At 41.1% G+C, this 24,272-nt stretch overlaps 1 protein-coding gene across 6 annotated transcripts in view; it reads left to right on the top strand.

Moving 5' to 3' along the window:
- ULK4 (unc-51 like kinase 4) overlaps positions 1-24,272 on the top strand; it is a 715,505-nt gene that overhangs the window by 381,306 nt on the left and 309,927 nt on the right. For all 6 annotated transcript variants that reach the window (NR_136342.2, NM_001322501.2, NM_017886.4 and 3 more), the window contains one exon: positions 14,668-14,773. Coding sequence is in view for 5 of the 6 variants with exons in the window: in NM_001322501.2 (NP_001309430.1) it covers positions 14,668-14,773 (106 nt within the window). In the remaining variant the exon portion in view is untranslated. The remainder of the gene's footprint in view (positions 1-14,667; positions 14,774-24,272) is intronic.

Raw genomic sequence — 24,272 nt, 5'->3', positions numbered from 1 at the left:
TTCTCTCCCGGCATCCTTGTGTGCATCTGGAGGCTGCAGTGCCCTTCCCTGCTGCTTGCTTCTGGGTCGGGCTCCCAGCTGTGCACCCGGATGAGGCAGCTGATGCACAGTGATGCAACTGGCTGCTCTAGTTGCTATAAGGACAGGGCTTGTCACTCGTATGGTTTTACACAACATGTTTCCATCTGCCTAAAGTTTTACCTCTTTTTCTGTCCTTAATGGATCTGGTGACAGTGATTTGGATGCCGTGGTTCAGAGTCGTTGCTGTTGGCATTTTTCTCTCTGGGGGTGTCCCTAGCCCTGATGTAGTAGAGCCTACATTGTGTTGAACCACAGAGTATGGGGAAATGAAACTATCCAAATTTCAATATATAGATGATTTCTTATGCCTCCCAAACAGGTTTTTTTAAAAAAAAAAAAATAAATAATTGGTTTAACTTGTTATTTGTGCCCTGAGAGATAAGATTCTAAGATTATCTAATAAGATTGGCTAATAATGATATCAGAATGGTGCAGAATGATGTATGGATGTTCCTGAAGCTCAGGGACGTCTCCTAAAGACCAGCACCCCCTCTGTGCTCAACCCCTATAAATACAAGCTCATGACAGCCGCTTGTCTGTTGTCATGCACAGCGGCAGAAGGATTCTGTACCAGCCAGTCAGCCTGAGGGGATGGCACATCTAGTCATTAGCAGCTAATCGAAATTCACATGCAAAAGAGGCTGTGACACCGTTACTCTGTGTACTTTGAGTGGGTGGCCAGGTGGGAGTATGGCAGCAAGAAAGCAGTCCTCACACGTGTGCTCCATGAGTCAAGAAATGCCTTGAAGTGCCTGGAGTTAGAGTGAAAGGGAAAGATTGCACTTGCTTTTCTGCTCCCTGTCTTTGGGTAATGGCATGCCAGGAAAACACAAGGGCAGCAACAGAGCTGCTGTCTGTGCACGTCTCTCCAACATGCGGGTCAGCAGGTCTTTTGACTCACTCTTAGCAAAAAATATTAGTTCCAGGCCGGGCGCGGTGGCTCACGCCTGTAATCCCAGCACTTTGGGAGGCCGAGACGGGCGGATCACGAGGTCAGGAGATCGAGACCATCCTGGCTAACACGGTGAAACCCCGTCTCTACTAAAAATACAAAAATTAGCCGGGCATGGAGGCGCGCGCCTGTAGTCCCAGCTACACGGGAGGCTGAGGCAGGAGAATGGCGTGAACCCGGGAGGCGGAGCTTGCAGTGAGTCGAGATCGCGCCACTGCACTCCAGCCTGGGCGACAGAGCGAAACTCCGTCTCAAAAAAAAAAAAAAAAAAAAAAAAAATATTAGTTCCAGATTGAAGTGAATAGCTGCCTTGTGATGGGGAGGCCTTTGGAGCTAGCATCTGTGGAACTGGCGTTGTATTCTGAGCTTAGCCTCATTGGACTCAGTTTTCTTCATGGGTAAAGCCATCTGTTCCTCCTTCCTTCCTTATCCCTATCCTTTCTCACTTTAACCTTTCCTCTGTCCCTTCATTCTTAGCACTCATTTTGATTTCTGGTTTTCTCTTTCATTTTCATGAGGAAAATTTAATCAAGCCATTTCGACATATAAACCCTTAAAGCTGAAGCTCATTTATTGGAATACAGTGGTTAAAAATATGAAAACGCCAAGCCTTCCCTTTCCCTCTTTCCCATTTCCTCATTCCATTGTTCAAAGGGCTTCTTGTGGACTTGTACGGCTGGTGCTTCGATGCAGAAACAGTGGACATGACAAATAGTGCTTCTCAGATGAGTCTTACACACTCAGCGTATAGCCAAGAACCCCATAAGTATTTGTCCCAGAATAGATACTGAAGAGGAGGGTTGGGTTGCGCCTGATTTCTCAAGGCCCTTAGGGAAACTCTCAACCTAGCTTGACTGAAGAAATTAAGCTCTGAAGAGTTCTCTTCTGGACTTTGGAAATTGAGACTGGCCAATATATGGTCACTTTCTCCCTTGATCAAGTTGGCCAGTCTCTTGACTTCTAGAATTTCCTTATTATTCCCACTTGTCCAGCACATACCATACTTATGTGTAGGGTCTGTGGGTTTATTAGTCCCTTCTTCCAAACCTTTTCCCACCACAAGACTCCTTGATTGACACTTCCTGTGATTCTTTAGCACAACATTTTGGACCCACATTTATTAATTTATTCACCTACATTAATACTGCTCACTTTATGCTTATATCTAGAGTTTCTTCTAATTTCAGTTAATAAAAATATGCCAGTAAAGACACAAAAGATTATCTGAGAGATGAAAAATTCCTGGAATCATTTTATACTGTCGCAACCATTAATTCTTCAAGATGGTATAGCGTGTGTCATTATGTGGCCAAAAATGAGCTTATTGAGTGTTCCAAAGTGACTAAACAAATATAATGGTTCTTATCTAAGTAGAGTCTAAGAAAAGGTAAGCTGATTGCCTTCGGTTATGGAAATTGGGAACAGAAATATGATCATGCTTAAAATACCAAGTGCAGCAAATTCCAGGGTGAGTGACAAAGACCCAGGTTGCCTTTTGCTGCTGATTTTTAAACATATCATAAACATACATGCTTGCAGTTCTAAGTTACTTCCTTAGAATATTCTATTGGAGAAAGGTGCTCTTGGGTTAAAATTTCAACCCTGACTGTAAGATGACTATCACCTCTTTAGAGATAGCCTTCTGCTGCAAAAACTGAAAAATTCTATTAGATCCAAAAAGTATTTCTGGCCTGAGGGTTAGCATGCATTATGTTGGGGTATTCCCATTTGCTCCAGAATAGCCTATTCATCACTTGCTGTTCAGGAGTAAGAGCTGACCTGCCAAAGAAGGTGTTAAGGGCAACCAAATGTGCAGCTCCAGGGAGCAGTGTTTACAGTGTTACTCCAGTGTGGGCAAAAAATTTATCTGTTTTAAAGTTACATCCTTGAATCTCTTCTTGGCCTTTTGGCTGAGATCAAGTATAAAAGTACACCTTTGACTCTATAAGCCCTGATGTGATTTTTAGGTAAATAATTATGAGATAATGGGAAAGGAAGATGCAATTTTAAGCCCTGACCCTCCTCTTTATATTCCTTTCTCAGAGATTCAATTTCTTTGTCTTTAAAATTAAATGATTGAAAAACAATTGAACTCATGGAGCTAGAGAATAGAAGGGTGGTTGGTTACCAGAGGTTGGGAAGGGTAGTGGGAGGTTGGAGGGGGAGGTGGGGATGGTTAATGGGGGCGCGGAAGAATGGATAAGACCTAGTATTTGATAACACAACAGGGTGAGTATAGTCAATAATAATTGTACATTTTAAAATAAAAGTATAATTGGATTATTTGTGACACAAAGGATACATGCTTGAGGTGATGGATACCCCCATTTCCCCTGACGTGATTATTATGCATTACATGCCTGTATCAAAACATCTCATATGTTCCATAAATATATACACCTCTTATGTATTCACAAAAATTAAAAATTAAAAAATTAAAGGATTGAACTAGAAAAGTCTCTAAGATTCTTCCAAGGTCTAGTAGCTTATTTTCTTGCTTTGCTTTAGGCTTTCCAGCTGGTTTGGGGCAGGCCAAGGCTTAGAACTGGGCTTGGCCCGGTTTTTTTTCTGCTCTACCACATTGTGCTTTTACATTCTTTAAAATTTTAGCTTTAAATAATCTTCCAGTCAATTCCCACTGAAATATTTTTCCTGCAGGATTTACTAGTACCTCTTAGAAACTGAAACTGTGAGTACCAACACTTGGTAAACTCCCATTAGGAAAAATTTGCACACTCCCACAGTAAAAGACGACTCTAATTGAAAACTGCCTTGTGATAATTGTGTGTAATTAATCTTTCCATTTATTTTCACTGTGATATTTTCTTTCTTTCGTGTGGGACACTTTATGTTTGTGAGCAGTTATCTTTTACAGAAAATCCCATTAAAGTTGTGTTTCATTAAAATTTGTTTCAGAATTTTAGGAGTATATGTTTTCCATGCCAGTGCAAATGCTTCATGAGTGCTTGACCAGTGTTTAGCATGTGAGAGATTTTGTGTATTTTACTTAAAATAAAAAATCTGAATTTATCAGTTTTTGCAAACATTATTCAAAAGTGAATATAAACTGAAAGCATTTTGGGAAAGGCCTTTTTTATCCTTTTGTAGTTCTTCACACCATTACATAGCAAATTTTAGGTGCTCAATAAATGTTTATCAATTGCTTAACTGAAGGCAGTTTCTAGTCACTGACTAGTTGATTTCTAGAAGGAGGCTCTCACACCGTCTATGCCTTCTGCAGCTGTATTTACCCAAGCAACTTAGAGCAGGATTGTTTTTTCATTAATTTTTCAGAGACCACTGTGTACCAGGGACTGCACATAGGCACAGGGGACACTATTAAAAGTCTCAGTCGTGCCCTCAAGGCACTCAGCATTGGGTGAGGGATGGGATTAACCAATAGTTTCTCTACACTTGGTGGCCACAGTGATGCAGGCAGGCACAGGAAAGTGAGGAAAATACTATTCAACCCAAGGCAACCTTCCCCACAGACACCAGCTTCAGGAAACAACATCTGGCCTGAATTTTTAAGAGTGACATTAGTTTGCTAGGACTTTGTTATTGCTATTTTTATTGCTATTTTTACTTTTCGACAGTGGCAGGGATGTGAGGAGAAGGCTGAAGGAGTTGTGTGTCTGGATGTGTTCTATTTTTTCATTTGTCCTCCCTACTTTGGGCTGGTCATTAGCTCAGATAGTGTGTTGTGTGGCAGATTGGCCTCTCTTTCAACACTACAGGCAGATACATAAAAGGGGCACAGTCCATCCCCAGGGAGCTGCTCCTGGCAGCTTCCCTTTGGCTCCACTGCCAGGGTCCTCCTGTCTGAGCAGCTTTGGCTCTGGCCCACTGCTTCTGCCTCGAGGCATAGGGCCACATTGAGAGCCAAGAGGATGGATGGAAGCTTCCTGCTAAAGCCTAAATAACATGAAAGGGCAGGGCTAGGAAAGCCAAGTGACACAATTAACCTGCCAGAAGGGCATTCGCAGCGCATTGCCATTGGTGTTGAATGAGGGCTGGAATTCTAAAGACAAGCTCAGCATACTGATTGGCAAATGGTACCATATGATCCAAATACTCCCTTCTGTGCCAGCTGGAATGTATCACTAATCATAACTTGTATTTGCTACTGCTAGAGGGCCTCTACTGTATCTGTCAGTCAAATTTAAAAATAATTTTAAGTTGCCTTCTCTCATGTCTTTGATCAGAAAGGTGGAGGAAGCCTTCAAATGATGATGCCCCATATAAAAGAAGGGGCTTAAATCTATACCTCCAGACTCCTGGGGTGAGAGCACCATACATTTTTGGCTACCGAGGGGAGAAAAACATGCTTCAATGTTCTCCCTCTGCCTCCTCAGCCCCTGTCAGAGCCTGCTCAACCCCTAGAAGCCCCGACCACGTTGGCAGAGGGGCTGTTTACCTGCTGCACAACTAACAGAGCAAATGCCCAGGGGCAGTTACCCCAGCACCTTCATCCTACTCCAAACATTCCCCCTGTGGACCCCTAAATCCTGGTCTTTCTTCCTAGGAAATCCATATACATATTTATGAGGTAAATGATTGAATTAATTTTAAATTAGCCTGTGCCCTTTCAGTTTAATTCAACTTGTTCCCTTCCCTGTTTCTCACCCTTAGGGGTCAGTATTTGGTACAAAAAGCCATGAGAATGTTTCCCACATCATAATGCCGGATTGAAAGCACTGGAGTAACAACACCCCTGCATCTGCTGTCTGATGATTTTTGTGGCTTCCCCTCCTTTCAGGGGTTTAAATCCAACCAGGGCTGTGGACAGAAACTGGGCTGTGGTAGCCATGACCTTGGGCCTACGTGAACCAGTGTTTCCTGTGTTGGCCTACAGCCTTCCAGATTTAAGCCCCACAGCTGGAGACAGAGTCTCTACCACTTTAGAAAGAGGAGTCTGGGGCCTGGCGCAGTGGCTCACGCCTGTAATCCCAGCACTTTGGGAGGCCAAGGCAGGTGGATTACGAGATCAGGAGATTGAGACCATCCTGGCTAACACGGTGAAACCCCATCTCTACTAGAAAATAATACAAAAAATTAGCCAGGCATGGTGGGCAGGCAACTGTAGTCCCAGCTACTTGGGAGGCTGAGGCAGGAGAATGGCATGAACCCGGGAGGCGGAGCTTGCATTGAGCTGAGATCTTGCCACTGCACTGCAGCCTGGGTGGCAGAGCAAGACTCTGTCTCAAAAAAAAAAAAAAAAAAAAAAAAAAAAGAGGACTCTGGTAGCAGTAGTGGAGGTGAAGCTGGAAGTAGAGACACCCATTAGGAGACTGTGGTCCCTGCTAAGGATGCCAATTGCCTGATGTTAGGTAAGTGGGAATGGAGAGCAGAGGATAGATGCAAGAGGGGCTCAAGGGAGATTCGAGGGTACTTTGTGGCTGACTAGATGAGGGAACAATAGGGAGGCAGTAGTCCCGATGATTCTAAGGTTTGTGGCTGGTGGCTGGGCAAGCTGTGGGACCTCCAATTGAAAGAGGAAACAGAAAGGAAAGTGTGAAGGCAAAGGGAGATGAACTCAATTTAGATTCCATTGAGTTTTTGTTTGTTTGTTTGTTTGTTTTTTTGAGACGGAGTTTCGCTCTTGTTGCCCAGGCTGCAGTGCAATGGCTCAATCTCGGCTCACGGCAACCTCTGCCTTTTGAGGTCAAGCAATTCTGCCTCAGCCTCCCAAGTAGCTGGGATTATAGGCATGCGCCACCGCTCCTGGCTAATTTTGTGTTATTAGTAGAGATGGGATTTCACCATGTTGGTCAGGCTGGGTTAAGCTGCCTGTGACACAGCCTTGTGAAAAATCATCAGTAATATGGAAATGTGTCCTCTTCCCCTCAAACATATTTATTTCACTTGAATACTCTGAAGACTTTTCTGAGCTTGGGTCTCAGAGCTCTAGGAATCTAGCCAGGTAGGAGAATGTTTGTGACAGAAAGTGACTGGATGCACCACTACATCCTGGAGCAGCACTTTGGCGCCATTGTACATGGAGTGCATGGTAGACTACCATTCTCTAGAGCAACAGTAAATTTGTTTTCTGAAATGTAGTTTAAGCGTGTGTTGAATAGGATGTGCTATGTATTTTTAAGAAATTGTAGATGCTGCGTGCCCAACACGTGTGTGTGCTTTGCTCTTTATTCTCTCTGTGGTTTCTCATCCCTATGATTAGTTGTGGTCTTTTAATTAGCTGTTAATTCATTGTTAAATTCTGGCCTGAACCAAAGGCAAAAGAGAGTGACCATGGTTCACTGTTACTTTTAGTTGTTAAAGGTATTTTCTACCTTGACTATTTAGATCCTTACCAAACTTTTAATCCAGACATCTGAAGTCTTTCAGTGGCATTTACCTTGTCAAATATCACAGTAAAATAGAATGCCCTGTCTACGGTGAAACTGCTTTGGAAAGGCTGGTCATTTTTCACGAGTGTTTCCTTGCTGTGCCCTTGGTATTTCAAAGCTGTCCTCTTTAAGCACTGAAGCAATTAGTTTTGAGAAGGCTGATTCTTCAGGGTCCAGTGCTCTCCTGCCTTTCATTTGCTGAAACTGTACATTTTAATGAAGTTGTTTCATCTATGTTGTCAAACACTAGAATTTTGCTGCTTTAATTCTAATGATCTCTACTGGCAAGTGCTGTGTTTTATTAGAGCCATCAAGTGTTTATTAAATGTCCATGCACTGTGGTGTTAGGCACATAAATTAGGTCAGCTGGGCTTATGGGTTATGGATGAAGGAGTTAAATATTTTCGTCATAATCTTAAAGTGTAGTGGGATTGCCTTTTGTGGGCTCTCAATGATGCCATCTTCTGTGAGTCGTTTCCTCTTTTCCCCATCAGCCAGTGCGAACACAAGTGTCTGAATAATGTGGCTATTAATAGTGGCCCTAGTACGTATTTTTATTTTGGGCAATATGCTCATTCTTTCGTTTCCTGTAATTGTCTAATACCCATATCATGCTTCTTGGGTTATATATCTTTTTTTTTTTTTTTTTGAGATGGAATCTTGCTCTGTCGCCCAGGCTGGAGTGCAGTGGCGCGATCTCGGCCCATTGCAAGCTCCGCCTCCTGGGTTCATGCCATTCTTCTGCCTCAGCCTCCTCAGTAGCTGGGACTACAGGCACCCGCCACCATGACGGGCCAATTTTTTTTTTTTGTATTTTTAGTAGAGACAGGGTTTCACCATGTTAGCCAGGATGGTCTCAATCTCCTGACCTTGTGATCCACCTGCCTCGGCCTCCCAAAGTGCTGGGATTACAGGCGTGTGGGTTATTTATCTTACAGTGTAATGAAAAACATTGAGGGCTCTTTTGAAGCTAGAAGATCCCAGTGGTGGGGGGAGGGGACAGGGAACATTGTGGAATGAAAGAGAGGATAAGCATCACCATTAGAGCCCTAGATTAGTGTTTCTCAGATTTTCACCCCCGCCTACTCTGGGCTTCTTTCAGTTCCTCCCAGGTAACACTGTGGGTCCACAGGTGGTGTTGGTTAACCTGGAGTGTGCTCACTGGCCTGGGTGACCCTGGCACTCTGCCCTCCTCTGATCACTAGGCAATGCTTCATGGTGATTAGGGGCAAGGTTTCTGCCATCCCATAGACCAAATCCCAGCTTCACCAATGAAGAGTTTGGCAAGTTACACTTGACTTCACTAACCTCAATTCTTACTGATAAAAATAGTAGAATGATAGCCCCTTCCATGTTTTTGTAAGGGTTGAATGAGATGATGTAGGTGAAGTGGAGTACAGGACATGGCACATAGTAAGTTCTCAATACGTTATCAGTGCTGTCTTGCCCCAGCTCGGGCCCGTGTGGCAGCTCTGCTTATAACTGGGCCCCTGACCCTGTCCCAAAGGCCTTGTTGCAGGTCTTCACCTGCTTTCATCTCTCCTTGCATGTATCAGGGCACCAAAAGTGTAGACTCCTTGCTTTATCAATGAGCTCTGAGGATTGGAAAAATATATGTTTCAAGATTTTACCTAATCCCCTGTATTGCCCTTTCACCCTGGGATTCAGTCTTAAATTTGGAGAAGTTGGAGGGGCTCTCCCAGAGGAGCATCTAATGATGAAATAGTCTTTAGTCAGAATCATCCCTCCCCTCCAACTCTGACCTGTGGTCTTTGAACGAAACATGCGTGCCCTTGTCTCTTTCCACCAGTCTTCCAGTTATGTCCAAGAAGAAATCGAGCCCCACATGTTTACTCTCATGTTTTCTCTTTTCATATATTCCTCTCCTCTGACTTAAAGAGGCAAATGTAATGTTTTTCAATGCACAGTTTACCCCCGTAAGCTAATAAGATTGTGAACCAGAAAAAAACCTTATTAAAGCTGCTAAGATAAATGAAATAGCACAGTTTGATACAAGTTAATAGAAGTATGCTTAATTCACATTTACACCTGCTCAACTGTCCTTTGCATGGATTTAGCATTCTTTTTGGGGAAATGATGCTCTAGGCCAGAGCAGTAGCTCTCTTATTTCACCTAGAGAACCATGTCATCATCTTGAGCAGAAGCAATTACTGTGCTCCAAGGTCTCCCTCCGCTGCACTATGCAAGAAGGCATATATACCTGTAAGAGGGAAGAGCAAGTAAAGATAATTCTGTAACATAATTTTTATAAAGCCCTCACTTTATTCTGAGCAAAGTTCATGATCTATGGATAGTTTATAAACCAACAAAGACAATAAAGAAAACAGTGTTTTTAATAACGTCTAGAATAGAAGTGGAACAGTTTCCTCCAGACTGATTATGGGATTATTCATCTCTTTTTTTATTCTGTGCATCAAATATTTTTCTCTAAGTACTCCTAGTAATAATGTTAGTGGGGAAGTTTGATAATCAGAGTGTACCTTAGTTTTATACCCCTCTGCAGATTGAGTAGTGGGGCAGGCAGGGGCCTTTATTCTTCAGTGACTCTGGGATCTCCAGGCAGGGGGTCCCGGGACCTGATTGGCTGGGATCTGATTCTGTGTTCTTAGCGTCCAGGGTGAGTTAGCTTTTGTATTGAAGGAAGTACCTATATCAACAAGTGGCACTCACTCATGAGTACAGGAAAAGCTGGAGTATTGGCTTCAGAATGAGCAAAGTAGTTGCCAAGGGTATTATAGAAAATGTGCATTTAGTTACAAAAATGTGTATCTCAAAGAAACAATAGATTTATTTCTAGTAAGACTGACCTATATTTGCTGACAGATGGGTCTTTGAACAAGGAGCAGTATGTGTCATTTTACCAAATGGGACCAAAATAAAAGATTTATTAGCTCCACTTTCTTCACAAGAAAAGGTTTTTTATGTATCGTTGGTTACTTTATCACGAGTAACATGTAGTGTCATCTTGGTGCTTATTAATCACCCTTTCCTTCCAACCAACTGTAAGAATAATTAGATGAAATTGGTGGCAGACCATTGCTTCCACATTAATCTTCTTAAGCTGGTGTCAGTGAAACATTAAAACATTAACGTTCACTGCAAAAGTGCTCTTAAGCGTGTGTTTCTGAAGTTCAAAATTTTTAGACATCAGTATTTGGAAAGCAAACACTTTGTCTTGTGTTAAACAACGGCATACATGGCAAAACCCATATGAAATCAAGTGGCTCTCATCAGTGGGAGGTACAAATCTGCTGAGAAAGCAGTTTCAGAGTCAGATGCAGTGTGGGTATTTTTGTAAGCCTTGGAAACCACGTGTCCAATCAAGAGGTTCCTGGATTCTCTGCTTCATGTTCTCACTCTGATACGCAGGCCATTAGAAGCCTCACCATCTAGAAGGTCATGGGGCAGAGGAGAAGGTAGGATGATGAAGCTGTCACTGGCGCTTAATGCTTCTGCCCATGTAAGTTTAATTGGCCAAAGCAAGTGTCATTTTCATCACTAGTGTCATTTTCCAAGCAGGCGGGGAAATGCCATTCTACTGTATACCTAGGAGAGAGAAGTGGGAAATTCGTTAGTCATTCATAATGACTAACTCAAAAAAAAAATGTAGGGTAGTCATTCAAATGGAAAGGTGGTTCCTTGAAAAGTCTGATAGCATAGATCAAGCTTTGGTGAGTCTGATCAACAAGAGAGAGGACACGGTGTAAAAGGCAATATAAATAGGGGCCAGGGAAATTTTGTGAAGGTGTAATAGAATGCTTTGTAGGATTTTATTACAATATGTGTGAAAATTTGGATGTTGTAGATGGTTTTCTAGGAAAATAGACATAACCAAATTGGGTCAAGATGTTGTAGATGCCTGAGTAGAAGTGTTTTGTTTTTCAGTTTTTTTTAAGGTCCACTGGTATGATACTGTGAAGTATGTATTTGATCTTCACCCCTGTTTCCTAGCATGCAACTCCTAAAATCCTCAGAAACTCTGTCTTCAGGTGCTGTCTTTTTGTATGCTAATGAGTTGATGGCTGGCATCCCCTAGGGTAGCTTCAGGATGGTGGCTTGTCACCTGAAAGACCAAGGCAACATTAGAGGGCTGAAAACTTTGAGTCCCAATCTCCACCCTCTGGGGAGGGGAGAGGGGCTGAGGTTAAGTTGATCACTCATGGCCAGTGATATAATCAGTCTTGCCTACATAACAAAACTTCCATAAAAACCCCAAAGGACCTATAACAGAACCCCGAAGTTCAGAGAACTTCCAGATAGCTGAATATGTACAGGTTGCTGGAGGGTGGTGTGCCCGGGGAAGACACAGAAGCTCCACAGTTCTTCCCCCATACCTTGCACTATGCATCTCTCCATCCATGTCTTTTGTAATGTCCTTTATAGTAAAATGGTAAACGTGTTTTCCTGAGTTCTGTAAGCCACTCTAGTAAATTAATTGAAGCCAAAGAGGCAGTCATGGGAAACCCAGCTTGACTCTGGCGGGTCAGAAGTTCCAGAGGTCCAGACTTGTGATGAGTGTTTGAAGTGGGAAGGAGGGTGTAGCCTTGTGGGACTGAGCCCTCGCCCTATGGGGTCTGATACTGTTTCCCGGTAGATTTTGTGGAGTTGAAGTAGAGAACGCTCAGCTTGTGTCAGCTGCAGAATCGATTGCTTGCTTCGTGTGTGGGGAAAATCCCACACATTTGGTCACAGAAGTCTCCTGTGTTGATTATTACTGAGTGAGAGAAGAGAAAAACCACTTAAGAGTTTATGTGTGTTTTTCCACACAACTGGTAGAAATGTATGGAGGCTAGCTAGTTGCTTGTATGAGTGAGTTCTGCCAGATCTCCTAGAAACACATATTAGATGCACAATAAATATATTTGGAATAAAATGGGTAGACAAGGTTAGCATGAGATCGATAGTAAAATCAGAAGAGGGTGTCACTTATAAGTCAGTATCACTTATGAACATAGATGCAACAATCCTAAAGAAACTTAGCTGACAGAGTCTAGAAGTATATTAGGAGAATAAACATATGTCTACTTCTTTAAATCTTTGCTCAGATGTCATTTTCTGAAGGAGCTATGCTTTGCTTGCTCTAGCATTGCAGCTTCCCCTGCAGCACTCCCAAGCCACCTTATCCTGTTCCCTATTTTGTCTCATAGTGTATATCACCTTCTAACATGTCTTATAATTATTTGTTATTTATTGTCTTCTCCTCCTGGTACAAGGTAAACACCATAAGGGCAGGGCTTTTTTTCTGTTTTGTTCACTGATGTAAGCCAACTACCTGGAATAGTTGGCACTTAGTATTTGTTGCAAAAATGAATAATCCTGAGTGTAAAATAGGATCCTTGATTGAATTCTGGAACAGAAAAGGCCATCGGTGGAAAACTGGTGCCACTTGAATAGTCTGTAGCTGAGTTGTTAGTATCAGTGTAAATGTCTTAGTTTTGATAGATACAACACGGTTAGGGTAAGATGTTAACATGAGGGAAAACTGGGTGATGGGTATATGGAAACTCTCTGTACTATCTTTGAAACTCTTCTATAAAGCTAAAGTTATTTCAAAAGAAAAGCTTATTAAAATCAATTAAGAGATACCAAGAGGCTTCAGCATTTAAAAAGTAAAATAAAATTTATGTTAAATGCCAGGCGTGGTGGCTCACGCCTGTAATCCCAGCACTTTGGGAGGCTGAGGCAGATGGATCACGAGGTCAAGAGATCGAGACCATCCTGGCCAACACAGTCAAACCCTGTCTCTACTAAAAATACAAAAAACAAAACAAAACAAAAAATTAGCCGGGTATGACGGTGCATGCCTGTAGTCCCACCTACTCAGGAGGCTGAGGCAGGAGAATCACTTGAACCCAGGAGGTGGAGGTTCAGTGAGCCGAGATCGCACCACTGCACTCCAGCCTGGCGACAGAGCGAGACTCCATCTCAAAAAAAAAAAAAAAAAAAAAAATCTGTTAAGTGACACCTTCTCAATGAGTCTTATCCTGAGCACCCTATTTCAAATCATATGCAGTCCCACTGCTGCCCTCTGAACCTTGCTTCCCTGCTCTGCTTTTTTCTTTTTTGCCAGAGTACTTGCTATCTTCTAATACATTATATGGTTCACTTTTTTATTATGCTTTTTGTTGTCTATTTATGTGAGGATAGGGGACTTTGTTCACTGGCATACCTCAAGTGCCTACTACAGTGCCTGGCACAAAATAGCTATACGTTAAAAAACAACCCAACAGCAAACCATATGTTTCTCTGTGGGTGAGAGGTGGAGAAAATGAATATAAAAAGGTCTAGATCAAGCCTACTAATTAATATGCTTGTTGCTTTTCGGGGTTGGACTAGTTATTAGCAGAATAGTCATGGTGAATGGGCGCAGGACGTAGAGCAGGGCAAGCTAGACTCCTAGGAGTCCTCACTGTCAGTGGGTACTTACAGGAACCTGAGAGTGAGGAGTACTACCTTACATTTTGCACCTCGTGTGTCTCTCTTGCCTCATCCTAGTTCCAGACTGCAAAGACTGCCTCTTTATTTTTGAATTTTATGAAATTTAATAATTTCAATTATAATCTGTGTTAATTGCTTAATTTTAAAAAATATTCACAGCAATGAAAAAGGGAACAAAAGAAAAGCAAGTTGTTTGTAAGACCCTTTAAAAATTACAAAGAAATGATTCTGCCTTTAAAATGAGAAATTGCAACTGAAGAATAACTCATTTTCCATTCTCTTTAGGACCTAAGTTACTGCCTACTATATGATGCTAAGTGTTGAGGAAAGCAAAATTCACAATCCACTCTTTTAGGTCCAAATGTAGTTTATTGCACTAAAGCAGTAATAAATCAGATCAAATGTACTAAAGTGGGAAAAATATCAGTACCAGCATAATATTGAAACTGCATAAATATTTGCTTGAAGTAGTTTTCTTTTGTGATATCAAACTCATCTTCAAGCATGATCTTCTGAGTTCTACATACTTGAATTCCTTTGTCACCCACCTAAAGCATGGAGGACCATGTGTTATCTCTCAGCTCATGGGCAGGGAAGTCTGTGCTGCAGCACTGGTGTCTGGGTGATTTACCCTCCCTCCCAGCTCACTTAACTCACTGATGGGATTTGTCTTAACATAGAAGGATGTGCTTCATTAAAGTGCAAAAAGGTAATCATTTAACCTTGTGCAAAGAATGAAGCAGTGGACATCATTTGCTTATTTGTCTTTACGATGATGTAATTGTATTTCTGTATGGTTATGATGGAAATTATGATCTATTGCAGGAACATCAGGAGAGCATTCTGGGTAATACCATGCAAAGTGTGATTGCATTACTCAGCAATCTAGTTGCCTGCAAAGATTCGAATATGGAACTACTTTATGAACAAGGTAAATGCCTCATAGAATTACTCTCTGATCAAGTTTTGCCTATTCATTTCTTCATCTTATATAGCGTGGAGTCTAGAAGTACCACTTAAAGTTGATGAGTCAAAATAGATAAGAATTTTCAAGTAATATTACTAGCAAAATTTGGAATTGTGGGATGGTTTCTCTAAGTTAATTCATTCTCTTAATGGCATAAAGTCAATAGTCACTGCTTAAAGATGACAAACCAAGAAATAGAGGTGTAATCATAGTATTTAGACTGATTGCTATCTGTCTTCATCTGTTTTCTGTTGCTATAACGGATTACCTGAGACTGAGTAATTTAAAACAAAAAGAAATCTATTTTGTACAGTTCTAGATGCTGAGAAGTCCAAGATTGAGGGGCTGCATGTGGTGAGGTCCATCATGCTGTTGGAGACTCTTTGCAGAGTCCAAAGGCAGTGTAGGGCATCACATGGTGAGGGGGCTGAGCTTGCTAGCTTAGGTTTCTTTTCCTCCTCTTATGAAGTGACTAATATCCCATCCTAATGACCTCATCTAATCTTAACTACTTCTCAGAGTTCTCACCTCTCAAATACCATAATTGGATTTCCCATCCTCTTAATGCCATTATAATGGGAATTAAGGGGCAGCATGAGTTTTGGAGGGGAAAACATTTGAACCATAAGACTGCCAATCAAAATAAAAACAGATATGACCAAAAGCGCCTTGGAAAATGAGACTGGATGAGTTGACAGTGGTTTACTTTATATCTTATGCATTTCTGTACTGTTAAAATTCTAAAAATCATGTACAGTCATGCATTACGTAACTACGGCAATCTGTTCTGAGATACACATCATTAGGCAGTTTTATCATTGTGTGAATACCACAGCTTGTACTTACACAAATCTAGATGGCGTAGCCTACTATACACCTAGGCTGTATGGTATTTATTGCCTATTGCCCGTAGACTACAAACCTGTGCTGAATACTGTAGTCACTTTTAACACAGAGGTGTAAGTATTTGTATATTTAAACTTAGAAGTATTGTGAATTTAAACATAGAAGAGGTGTGGCAAACATATGATATAAAAGATAAAACATGATACACCTGTATAGGGCACTTAATATGGATGGAGCTTGAAGGACTGAAAGTTGCCCTGAGGGAGTCAGTGACTGGGTGGGGAGTGAATGTGAAGGCCTAGGATGTTCCTGTACACTACTGTAGACTTTATAAACCCTGTACACTTAGGTTACACTCGATTTATAAAAAACAAATACTTTTATGGCCGGGTGCAGTGGCTCACGCTTGTAATCCCAGCACTTTGGGAGGCCGAGGCTTGTGGATCACTTGAGGTCAGGAGTTTGAGGCCAGCCTGGCCAACGTGGTAAAACCCCATCTCTACTAAAAATAGAAAAATTAGCCAGGTGTGGTGGCGGGTGACTGTAGTCCCAGCTACTCGGGAGGCTGAGGCAGGAGAATCGCTTGAAGTGGGGAGGTGGAGGTTGCAGTGAGCCGAGATTGCACCACTGCACTCCAGCCTAGGGTACAAGAGTGAGACACTGTCTCAAAAAAAAAAAAAAAAAAAAAAAAAAGAAGAAGAAGAAGAAACGTCCCTGTCTGACAGCTGTGAAGAGAGCAGTGGTTCTCCCAGCATGGCGTTTGAGCTCTCAGAACGGACGGACTACCTCCTCAAGTGGGTCCCTGACCCCCTTGTAGCCTAACTGGCAGACACCTCCCAGAAGGGGCCGACAGACACCTCATACAAGCAGGTACCCCTCTGGGATGAAGCTTCCAGATGAAGGATCTGCCAAAAATATTTGCTGTTCTGCATTATTTGCTGTTCTGCAGCCTCCGCTGGTGATACCCAGGCAAACAGGGTCTGGAGTGGACCTCCAGCAAACTCCAACAGACCTGCAGCTGAGGGACCTGACTGTAAGAAGGAAAATTAACAAACAGAAAGGAATAGCATCAACATCAACAAGAAGGACATCTACACCAAAACCCTATCTATAGGTCACCAATATCAAAGAACAAAGGTAGATAAAACCACAAAGATGGGGAGAAACCAGAGCAGAAAAGCTGAAAATTCTAAAAACCATAGCACCTTTTCTCCTCCAAAGGATCGCAACTCCTCTCCAGCAACGGAACAAAGCTGGACAGAGAATGACTTTGATAAGTTGACAGAAGTAGACTTCAAAAGGTCGGTAATAACAAACTTCTCCAAGCTACAGGAGCATGTTCTAACCCATCTCCAGGAAGCTAAAAACCTTGAAAAAAGTTTAGACGAATGGCTAACTAGAATAAACAGTGTAGAGAAGACCTTAAATGACCTGAAGGAGGTGAAAACCATGGCACGAGAACTTCGTGACGCATGCACAAGCTTCAGTAGCCAATTCAATCAAGTGGAAGAAAGGGTATCCGTGATTGAAGGTCAAATTAATGAAATAAAGCGAGAAGACAAGTTTAGAGAAAAAAGAGTAAAAAGAAACGAACAAAGCCTCCAAGAAATATGGGACTATCTGAAAAGACCAAATCTACTTTTGATTGGTGTACCTGAACGTGACGGGGAGAATGGAACCAAGGTGGAAAACACTCTTCAGGATATTATCCAGGAGAACTTCCCCAACCTAGTAAGGCAGGCCAGCATTCAAATTCAGGAAATACAGAGAACACCACAAAGATACTCCTTGAGAAGAGCAACCCCAAGACACATAATTGTCAGATTCACCAAGGTTGAAATGAAGGAAAAAATGTTAAGGGCAGCCAGAGAGAAAGGTCGGGTTACCCACAAAGGTAAGCCCAAAGACTAACAGCAGATCTTTTGGCAGAAACCCTACAAGCCAGAAGAGAGTGGGGGCCAATATTCAACATTCTTAAAGAAAAGAATTTTCAATCCAGAATTTCCTATCTGGCCAAACTAAGCTTCCTAAGTGAAGGAGAAATAAAATCCTTTACAGACAAGCAAATGCTGAGAGACTGTCACCACCAGGCTTGCCTTACAAGAGCTCCTAAAGGAAGCACTAAACATGGAAAGGAACAACCTGTAGCAGCCACTGCAAAAACATGCCAAATTGCAAACACCATCGATGCTATGAAGAAATTACATCAATTAACGAGCAAAATAACCAGCTAACATCCTAATGACAGGATCAAATTCACACATAACAGTATTAACCTTAAATGTAAATGGGCTAAATGCCCCAATTGAAAGACACAGACTGGCAAATTGGATAAAGAATCAAGACCCATCAGTGTGCTGTGTTCAGGAGACTCATCTCACATGCAGAGACACACATAGGCTCAAAATAAAGGGATGGAGGAAGATCTACCAAGCAAATGGAAAGCAAAAAAAAAGCAGGGGTTACAATCCCAGTCTCTGATAAAACAGACTTTAAACCAACAAAGATGAAAAGAGACAGAGAAGGCCATTACATAATGGTAAAGGGTGATTCAACAAGAAGACCTAACTATCCTAAATATATATGCACCTAATACAGTATCACTCAGATTCATAAAGCAAGTCCTTAGAGATCTACAAACAGACTTAGACTCCCACACAATAATAATGGGAGACTTTAACACTCTACCGTCAATACTAGACAGATCAACAAAGCAGAAGGTTAACAAGGATATCCAGGACTTGAACTCAGCTCTGCACCAAGTGGACCTAATAGACATCTACAGAACTCTCCACCCCAAATAAACAGAAAATACATTCTCCTCAGCCCCACCTCACACTTATTCTAAAATTGACCACATAATTGGAAGTAAAGCACTCCTCAGCAAATGTAGAAGAACAGAAATCACAGTAAACTGTCTCTCAGACCACAGTACAATCAAATTAGAACTCAGGATTAGGAAACTCACTCAAAACTGCACGACTACATGGAAACAGAACAAGCTGCTCCTGAGTGACTACTCGGTAAATAAGGAAATGAAGGCAGAAATAAAGATGTTCTTTGAAACCAATGAGAACAAAGACACAACGTACCAGAATCTCTGGGACACATTAAAAGCAGTGTTTAGAGGGAAATTTATGGCACTAAATGCCCACAAGAGAAAGCAGAAAAGATCTAAAATCTGCACCCTAACATCACAATTAAAAGAACTAGAGAAGCAAGAGCAAACACCTTCAAAAGCTAGCAGAAGGCAAGAAATAACTAAGATCAGAGCAGAACTGAAGGAGACAGAGACGCAAAAAACCCTTCAAAAAATCAGTGAATCCAGGAGCTGGTTTTTTCAAAAGATCAACGACTTAATAGACCACTAGCAAGAGTAATATAGAAGAAAAGAGAGAAGAATCAAATAGACACAATAAAAAATGATAAAGAGGATATCACCACCAATCCCACAGAAGTACAAACTACCATCAGAGAATACTATAAACACCTCTATACAAATAAACTAGAAAATCTAGAAGAAATGGATAAATTCCTGGACATCTACACCCTTCCAAGACTAAACCAGGCGGAAGTTGAGTCTCTGAATAGAACAACACCAGGCTCTGAAATTGAGGCAATAATTAATAGCCTGCCAACCAAAAGTCCAGGACAAGATGAATTCACAGCTGAATTCTACCAGAGGTACAAAGAGGAGCTGTTACCATTCCTTCAGAAACTATTCCAATAAATAGAAAGAGAAGGAATCCTCCCTAACTCATTGTATGATGCTAGCATCATCCTGATACCAAAGCCTGGCAGAGACACAACCAAAAAAGAGAATTTTAGACCAATATCCTTGATGAACATTGATGCAAAAATCCTCAATAAAATACTGGCAGACCGAATCCAGTAGCACATCAGAAAGCTTACCCAACACGATCAAGTTGGCTTCGTCCCTGGGATGCAAGGCTGGTTCAACATATGCAAATCAATAAACATAATCCATCACGTAAACAGAATCAATGACAAAAACCACATGATTATCTCAATAGATGCAGAAAAGGCCTTCAAGAAGATTCAACAGTCCTTCATGCTAAAAACTCTCAATAAACTAGGTATTGAAGGAACGTATCTCAAAATAAGAAGAGCTATTTATGACATACCCACAGCCAATATCATACTGAGTGGGCAAAAACTGGAAGCATTCCCTTTGAAAACTGGCACAAGACAAGGATGCCTTCTCTCACCATTCCTGTTCAACATAGTGTTTGAAGTTCCTGCCAGGGCAGTCAGGCAAGAAAAAGAAATAAAGGGTATTTAATTAGGAAAGGAGGAAGTCAAATTGTCCCTGTTTGCGGATGACATGATTGTATATTTAGAAAACCCCATAGTCTCAGCCCAAAATCTCCTTAAGCTGATAAGCAACTTCAGCAAAGTCTCAGGATACAAAATCAATGTGCAAAAATCACAAGCATTCCTATACACCAATAACAGACAAACAGAGAACCAAATCATAAGTGAACTCCCATTCACAATTGCTACAAAGAGAATAAAATACCTAGGAATCCAACTTAAAAGGGATGTGAAGAACCTCTTCAAGGAGAACTACAAACCACTGCTCAATGAAGTAAAAGAGGACACAAACAAATGGGAAAACATTCCATGTTCATGGATAGGAAGAATCAATATTGTGAAAATGGCCATACTGCCCAAGGTAATTTATAGATTCAATGTCATCCGCATCAAACTACCAATGTCTTTCTTCACAGAGTTGGAGAAAACTACTTTAAAGTTCATATGGAACCAAAAAAGAGCCCGCATTGCCAAGATAATCCTAAGCCAAAAGAACAAAGCTGGAGGCATCACATTACTTGAGTTCAAACTGGACTACAAGGCTACAGTAACCAACACAGCATGATATTGGTACCAAATCAGATATATAGACCAATGGAACAGAACAGAGGCCTCAGAAATAACACCACTCATCTACAACCATCTGATCTTTGACAAACTTGACAAAAGCAATGGGGAAAGGATTTCCTATTTAATAAATGGTGCTGGGAAAACTGGCTAGCCATATGTAGAAAGCTGAAACTGGATCCCTCTTTACAGCTTATACAAAAATTAATTCAAGATGGATTAAAGACTTAAATGTTAGACTTAAAACCATAAAAACCCTAGAAGAAAACCTAGGCAATACCATTTAGGACATAGGCATGGGCAAGGGCTTCATGACTAAAACACCAAAAGCAATGGCAACAAAAGCCAGAATAGACAGATGTGATCTAATTAAACTAAAGAGCTTCTGCAAAAGAAACTACCATCAGTGTGAATAGGCAACTACAGAATGGGAAAAAATCTTTGCAGTCTACCCATCTGACAAAGGGCTAATATCCAGAATCTGCAAAGAACTTAAACAAATTTACAAGAAAATAAACAACTCCATCAAAAACTGGTCAAAGGATATGAACAGACACTTCTCAAAAGAAGACATTTATGCAGCCAAAACACACATGACAAAATGCTCATCATCACTGGCCATCAGAGAAATGCAAATCAAAACCACAATGAGATACCATCTCACACCAGTTAGAATGGCAATCATTAAAAAGTCAGGAAACAAGAGGTGCTGGAGAGGATGTGGAGAAATAGGAACACCTTTACACTGTTGGTGGGACTGTAAACTAGTTCAACCATTGTGGAAGACAGTGTGGCAGTTCCTCAAGGATCTAGAACTAGAAATACCATTTGACCCAGCCATCCCATTACTGGGTATATACCCAAAGGATTATAAACCATGCTGCTATGAAGACACATGCACACGTATGTTTATTGCAGCACTATTCACAATAGCAAGACTTGGAACCAATCCAAATGTCCAACAATGATAGACTGGATTAAGAAAATGTGGCACATATACACCATGGAATACTATGCAGCCATAAAAAAGGATGAGTTCGTGTCCTTTGTAGGGACATGGATGAAGCTGGAAACCATCATTCTCAGTAAACTATCGCAAGGACAGAAAACCAAACACTGCATATTCTCACTCATAGGTGGGAATTGAACAATGAGAACATATGGACACAGGAAGGGGAACATGATACACCGGGGCCTGTTGTGGGGTGGGGGTAGGGGGGAGGGATAGCATTAGGAGATACACCTAATGTTAAATGATGAGTTAATGGGTGCAGCACACCAGCATGGCACATGTATACATATGTAACTAACCTGCACGTTGTGCACATGTACCCTAAAACTTAAAGTGTAATAAAATAAATAAATAAATAAAATAAAATAGAAGCTATCAAGTGGAGTTCTTCACAGAAATATGACTTGGGATAAAATCTGTCACTGAATAAAATTACCAAGTCACTGTTCTAATTTCCCCCCGCCCACCGAAGAATTTAGAGTTCTATTTCTTTTTCTTTCCTTTTTTTTCTTTTCTTTTTTTTTTGAGATGGAGTCTTGCTCTATTGCTCAGGCTGAAGTGCCATGGCGTGATCTTGGCCCACTGCAATCTCCACCTCCCAGGGTCCAGCAATTCTGCTGCCTCAGCCTCCCGAGTAGCTGGGATTACAGTCGCCCACCACCATGCCCGGCTAATTTTTGTATATTTAGTAGAGACAGTGTTTCATTATGTTGGCCAGGCTGGTCTTGAACTCCTGACCTCAGGTGATCTGCCACCTTGGCCTCTCAAAGTGCTGGGACTACAGGCATGAGCCACTGCTCCTGGCCTAGAGTTGTGTTTCTATGTGGTCATTATATTTCAATGCTGGTAATATTTTTTTCCTCCCCTAAGAAAAATATGCACTTACCCCCGTGATAAATATTGCCAACAGTTTTGGGGCTTTGGTACATAGAGATCTTTATTCTTTTACACAGCAACATCCTATTCTGTTTTATGGATGTAGCATAATTTATTTAACCACAGCCTCAGTGGTAGATATATGTTGTTTCCAATATTTTGCTGTTACAGACAGTTCTACAATGAATAGTTTTATACATGTATCCTTTCACACAGGAGCAGGAATATGTATAGGAGAAATTCCTGGAATTGGAATTGTTAGCTCAAAGGATATATGCATAAGTAAGTTTTGTAGATACTGAGAAGCTGCTCTAAGTAATGTGCCAATTTATATTTCCACAAGAGCATGTGAGATTGCTTGTCTTTGGATCTAAGAGCATGTTTTGCTTCCCCATTTGTTCAAGAAATTTTTATGTTCTTCAGAGATGTTTTGTAGTTTTCTTTATATAGGTCTTATGCATTTCTTGTTAAGTTTATGTCTTCCTAAGTGTTGTATCTTTTTTTGCATTCAATAGAAATGAGGACTTTTCCACCATTATATATTCCAATTTATTTTTAAATTATTTTATTTTATTTTACTTTATTTTAGAGACAGAGTCTCCTTGTGTTACCCAGGCTGGAGTGCAGTAACACAATCAGAGCTTATTGCAGTTTTGAATTCCTGGCTTTAAGTGATCTCCCACTTCAGCCTCCCAAGTAACTAGGACAACAGGCGCGTGCCACCATGCCTGGCTAATTTTTTTTTTTTTGGTGGAGACAGGGTCTTGCTATGTTAACCAGGGTGGTCTCAAACTCCTGGCCTCAAATGATCTTTCCACCTCGGACTTCCAAAGCACTGGTTGGTATTACAGGTGTGAGCCACCATGCCTGGCCGCAATCTGTTGTTTTAAATATGTTTGAAAGTTTTTGATTTCTGTATATGCAATTTTGTACATATATTAATTCTTTTTTTATATTAATAGTTTTTAGGTGATTTTCTTAGTTTCCCAGTCATATAATAATTGTAAATAATGATGGTTTTCTTTCCAATTTTTATGATGCTACTTTTCCCCTCTGGTCTATTTACAAGTTTCAAATAGAGTGGGGTAGATGTCTTGGATTTGTCTGAGGATCTTTTTTTCTGGGTAAGGAGGTACTCTTCTATTTTAATTTTATTTTTATTTCTTTTGTAATCAGGAATAATGACATTTGTCAAATGCTTTTTTGGCTTCTATGGAAATGATCAAATGATTTTTCCTTGAATCTATTTATATAATGAATTATATTTAATTGGTTACCTAATATTGAACCCATCCTAGTGTTTGAGTCAGTAACCACAGTTATGATACATAGTTCTTTAATTGTGCTACTTTAGTTCTTTGTTAATATTTTATTTAGGATTTTTCATTGCCATTCATTGGTGTAATTGGTCTGTGATTTTGTTTGTTCATTTTTGATGGGAGAAACACATTCTTTGCCCAGATTTTAATATTAATGCTATATTGCTTCATTAAAATTTTTTTTTCCTCTTTCTGTATTTCTCGAAAATTCATTTATCATTGGAATTATCTACTCCTTAAAAGTTTGGGCCGGGCACAGTGGGTCATGCCTGTAATCCCAGCACTTTTGGAGGCTGAGGTGGGCGGATTACGAGGTCAGCAGATGGAGACCATCCTGGCTAACACAGTGAAACCCTGCCTCTACTAAAAATACAAAAAGTTAGCCAGGCATGGTGGCACGTGCCTGTAGTCCCAGCTCCTTGGGAGGCTGAGGCAAGAGAATCGCTTGAACCCAGGAGGTGGAGGTTGCAGTGAGCCAATATTGTGCCACTGCACTCCAGCCTAGGCG

The sequence above is a fragment of the Homo sapiens genome, chromosome 3 (genome assembly GCF_000001405.40).
Source record: "Homo sapiens chromosome 3, GRCh38.p14 Primary Assembly".
NCBI lineage: Eukaryota > Metazoa > Chordata > Mammalia > Primates > Hominidae > Homo > Homo sapiens.
This window is presented reverse-complemented; position numbering and strand designations above follow the sequence as displayed.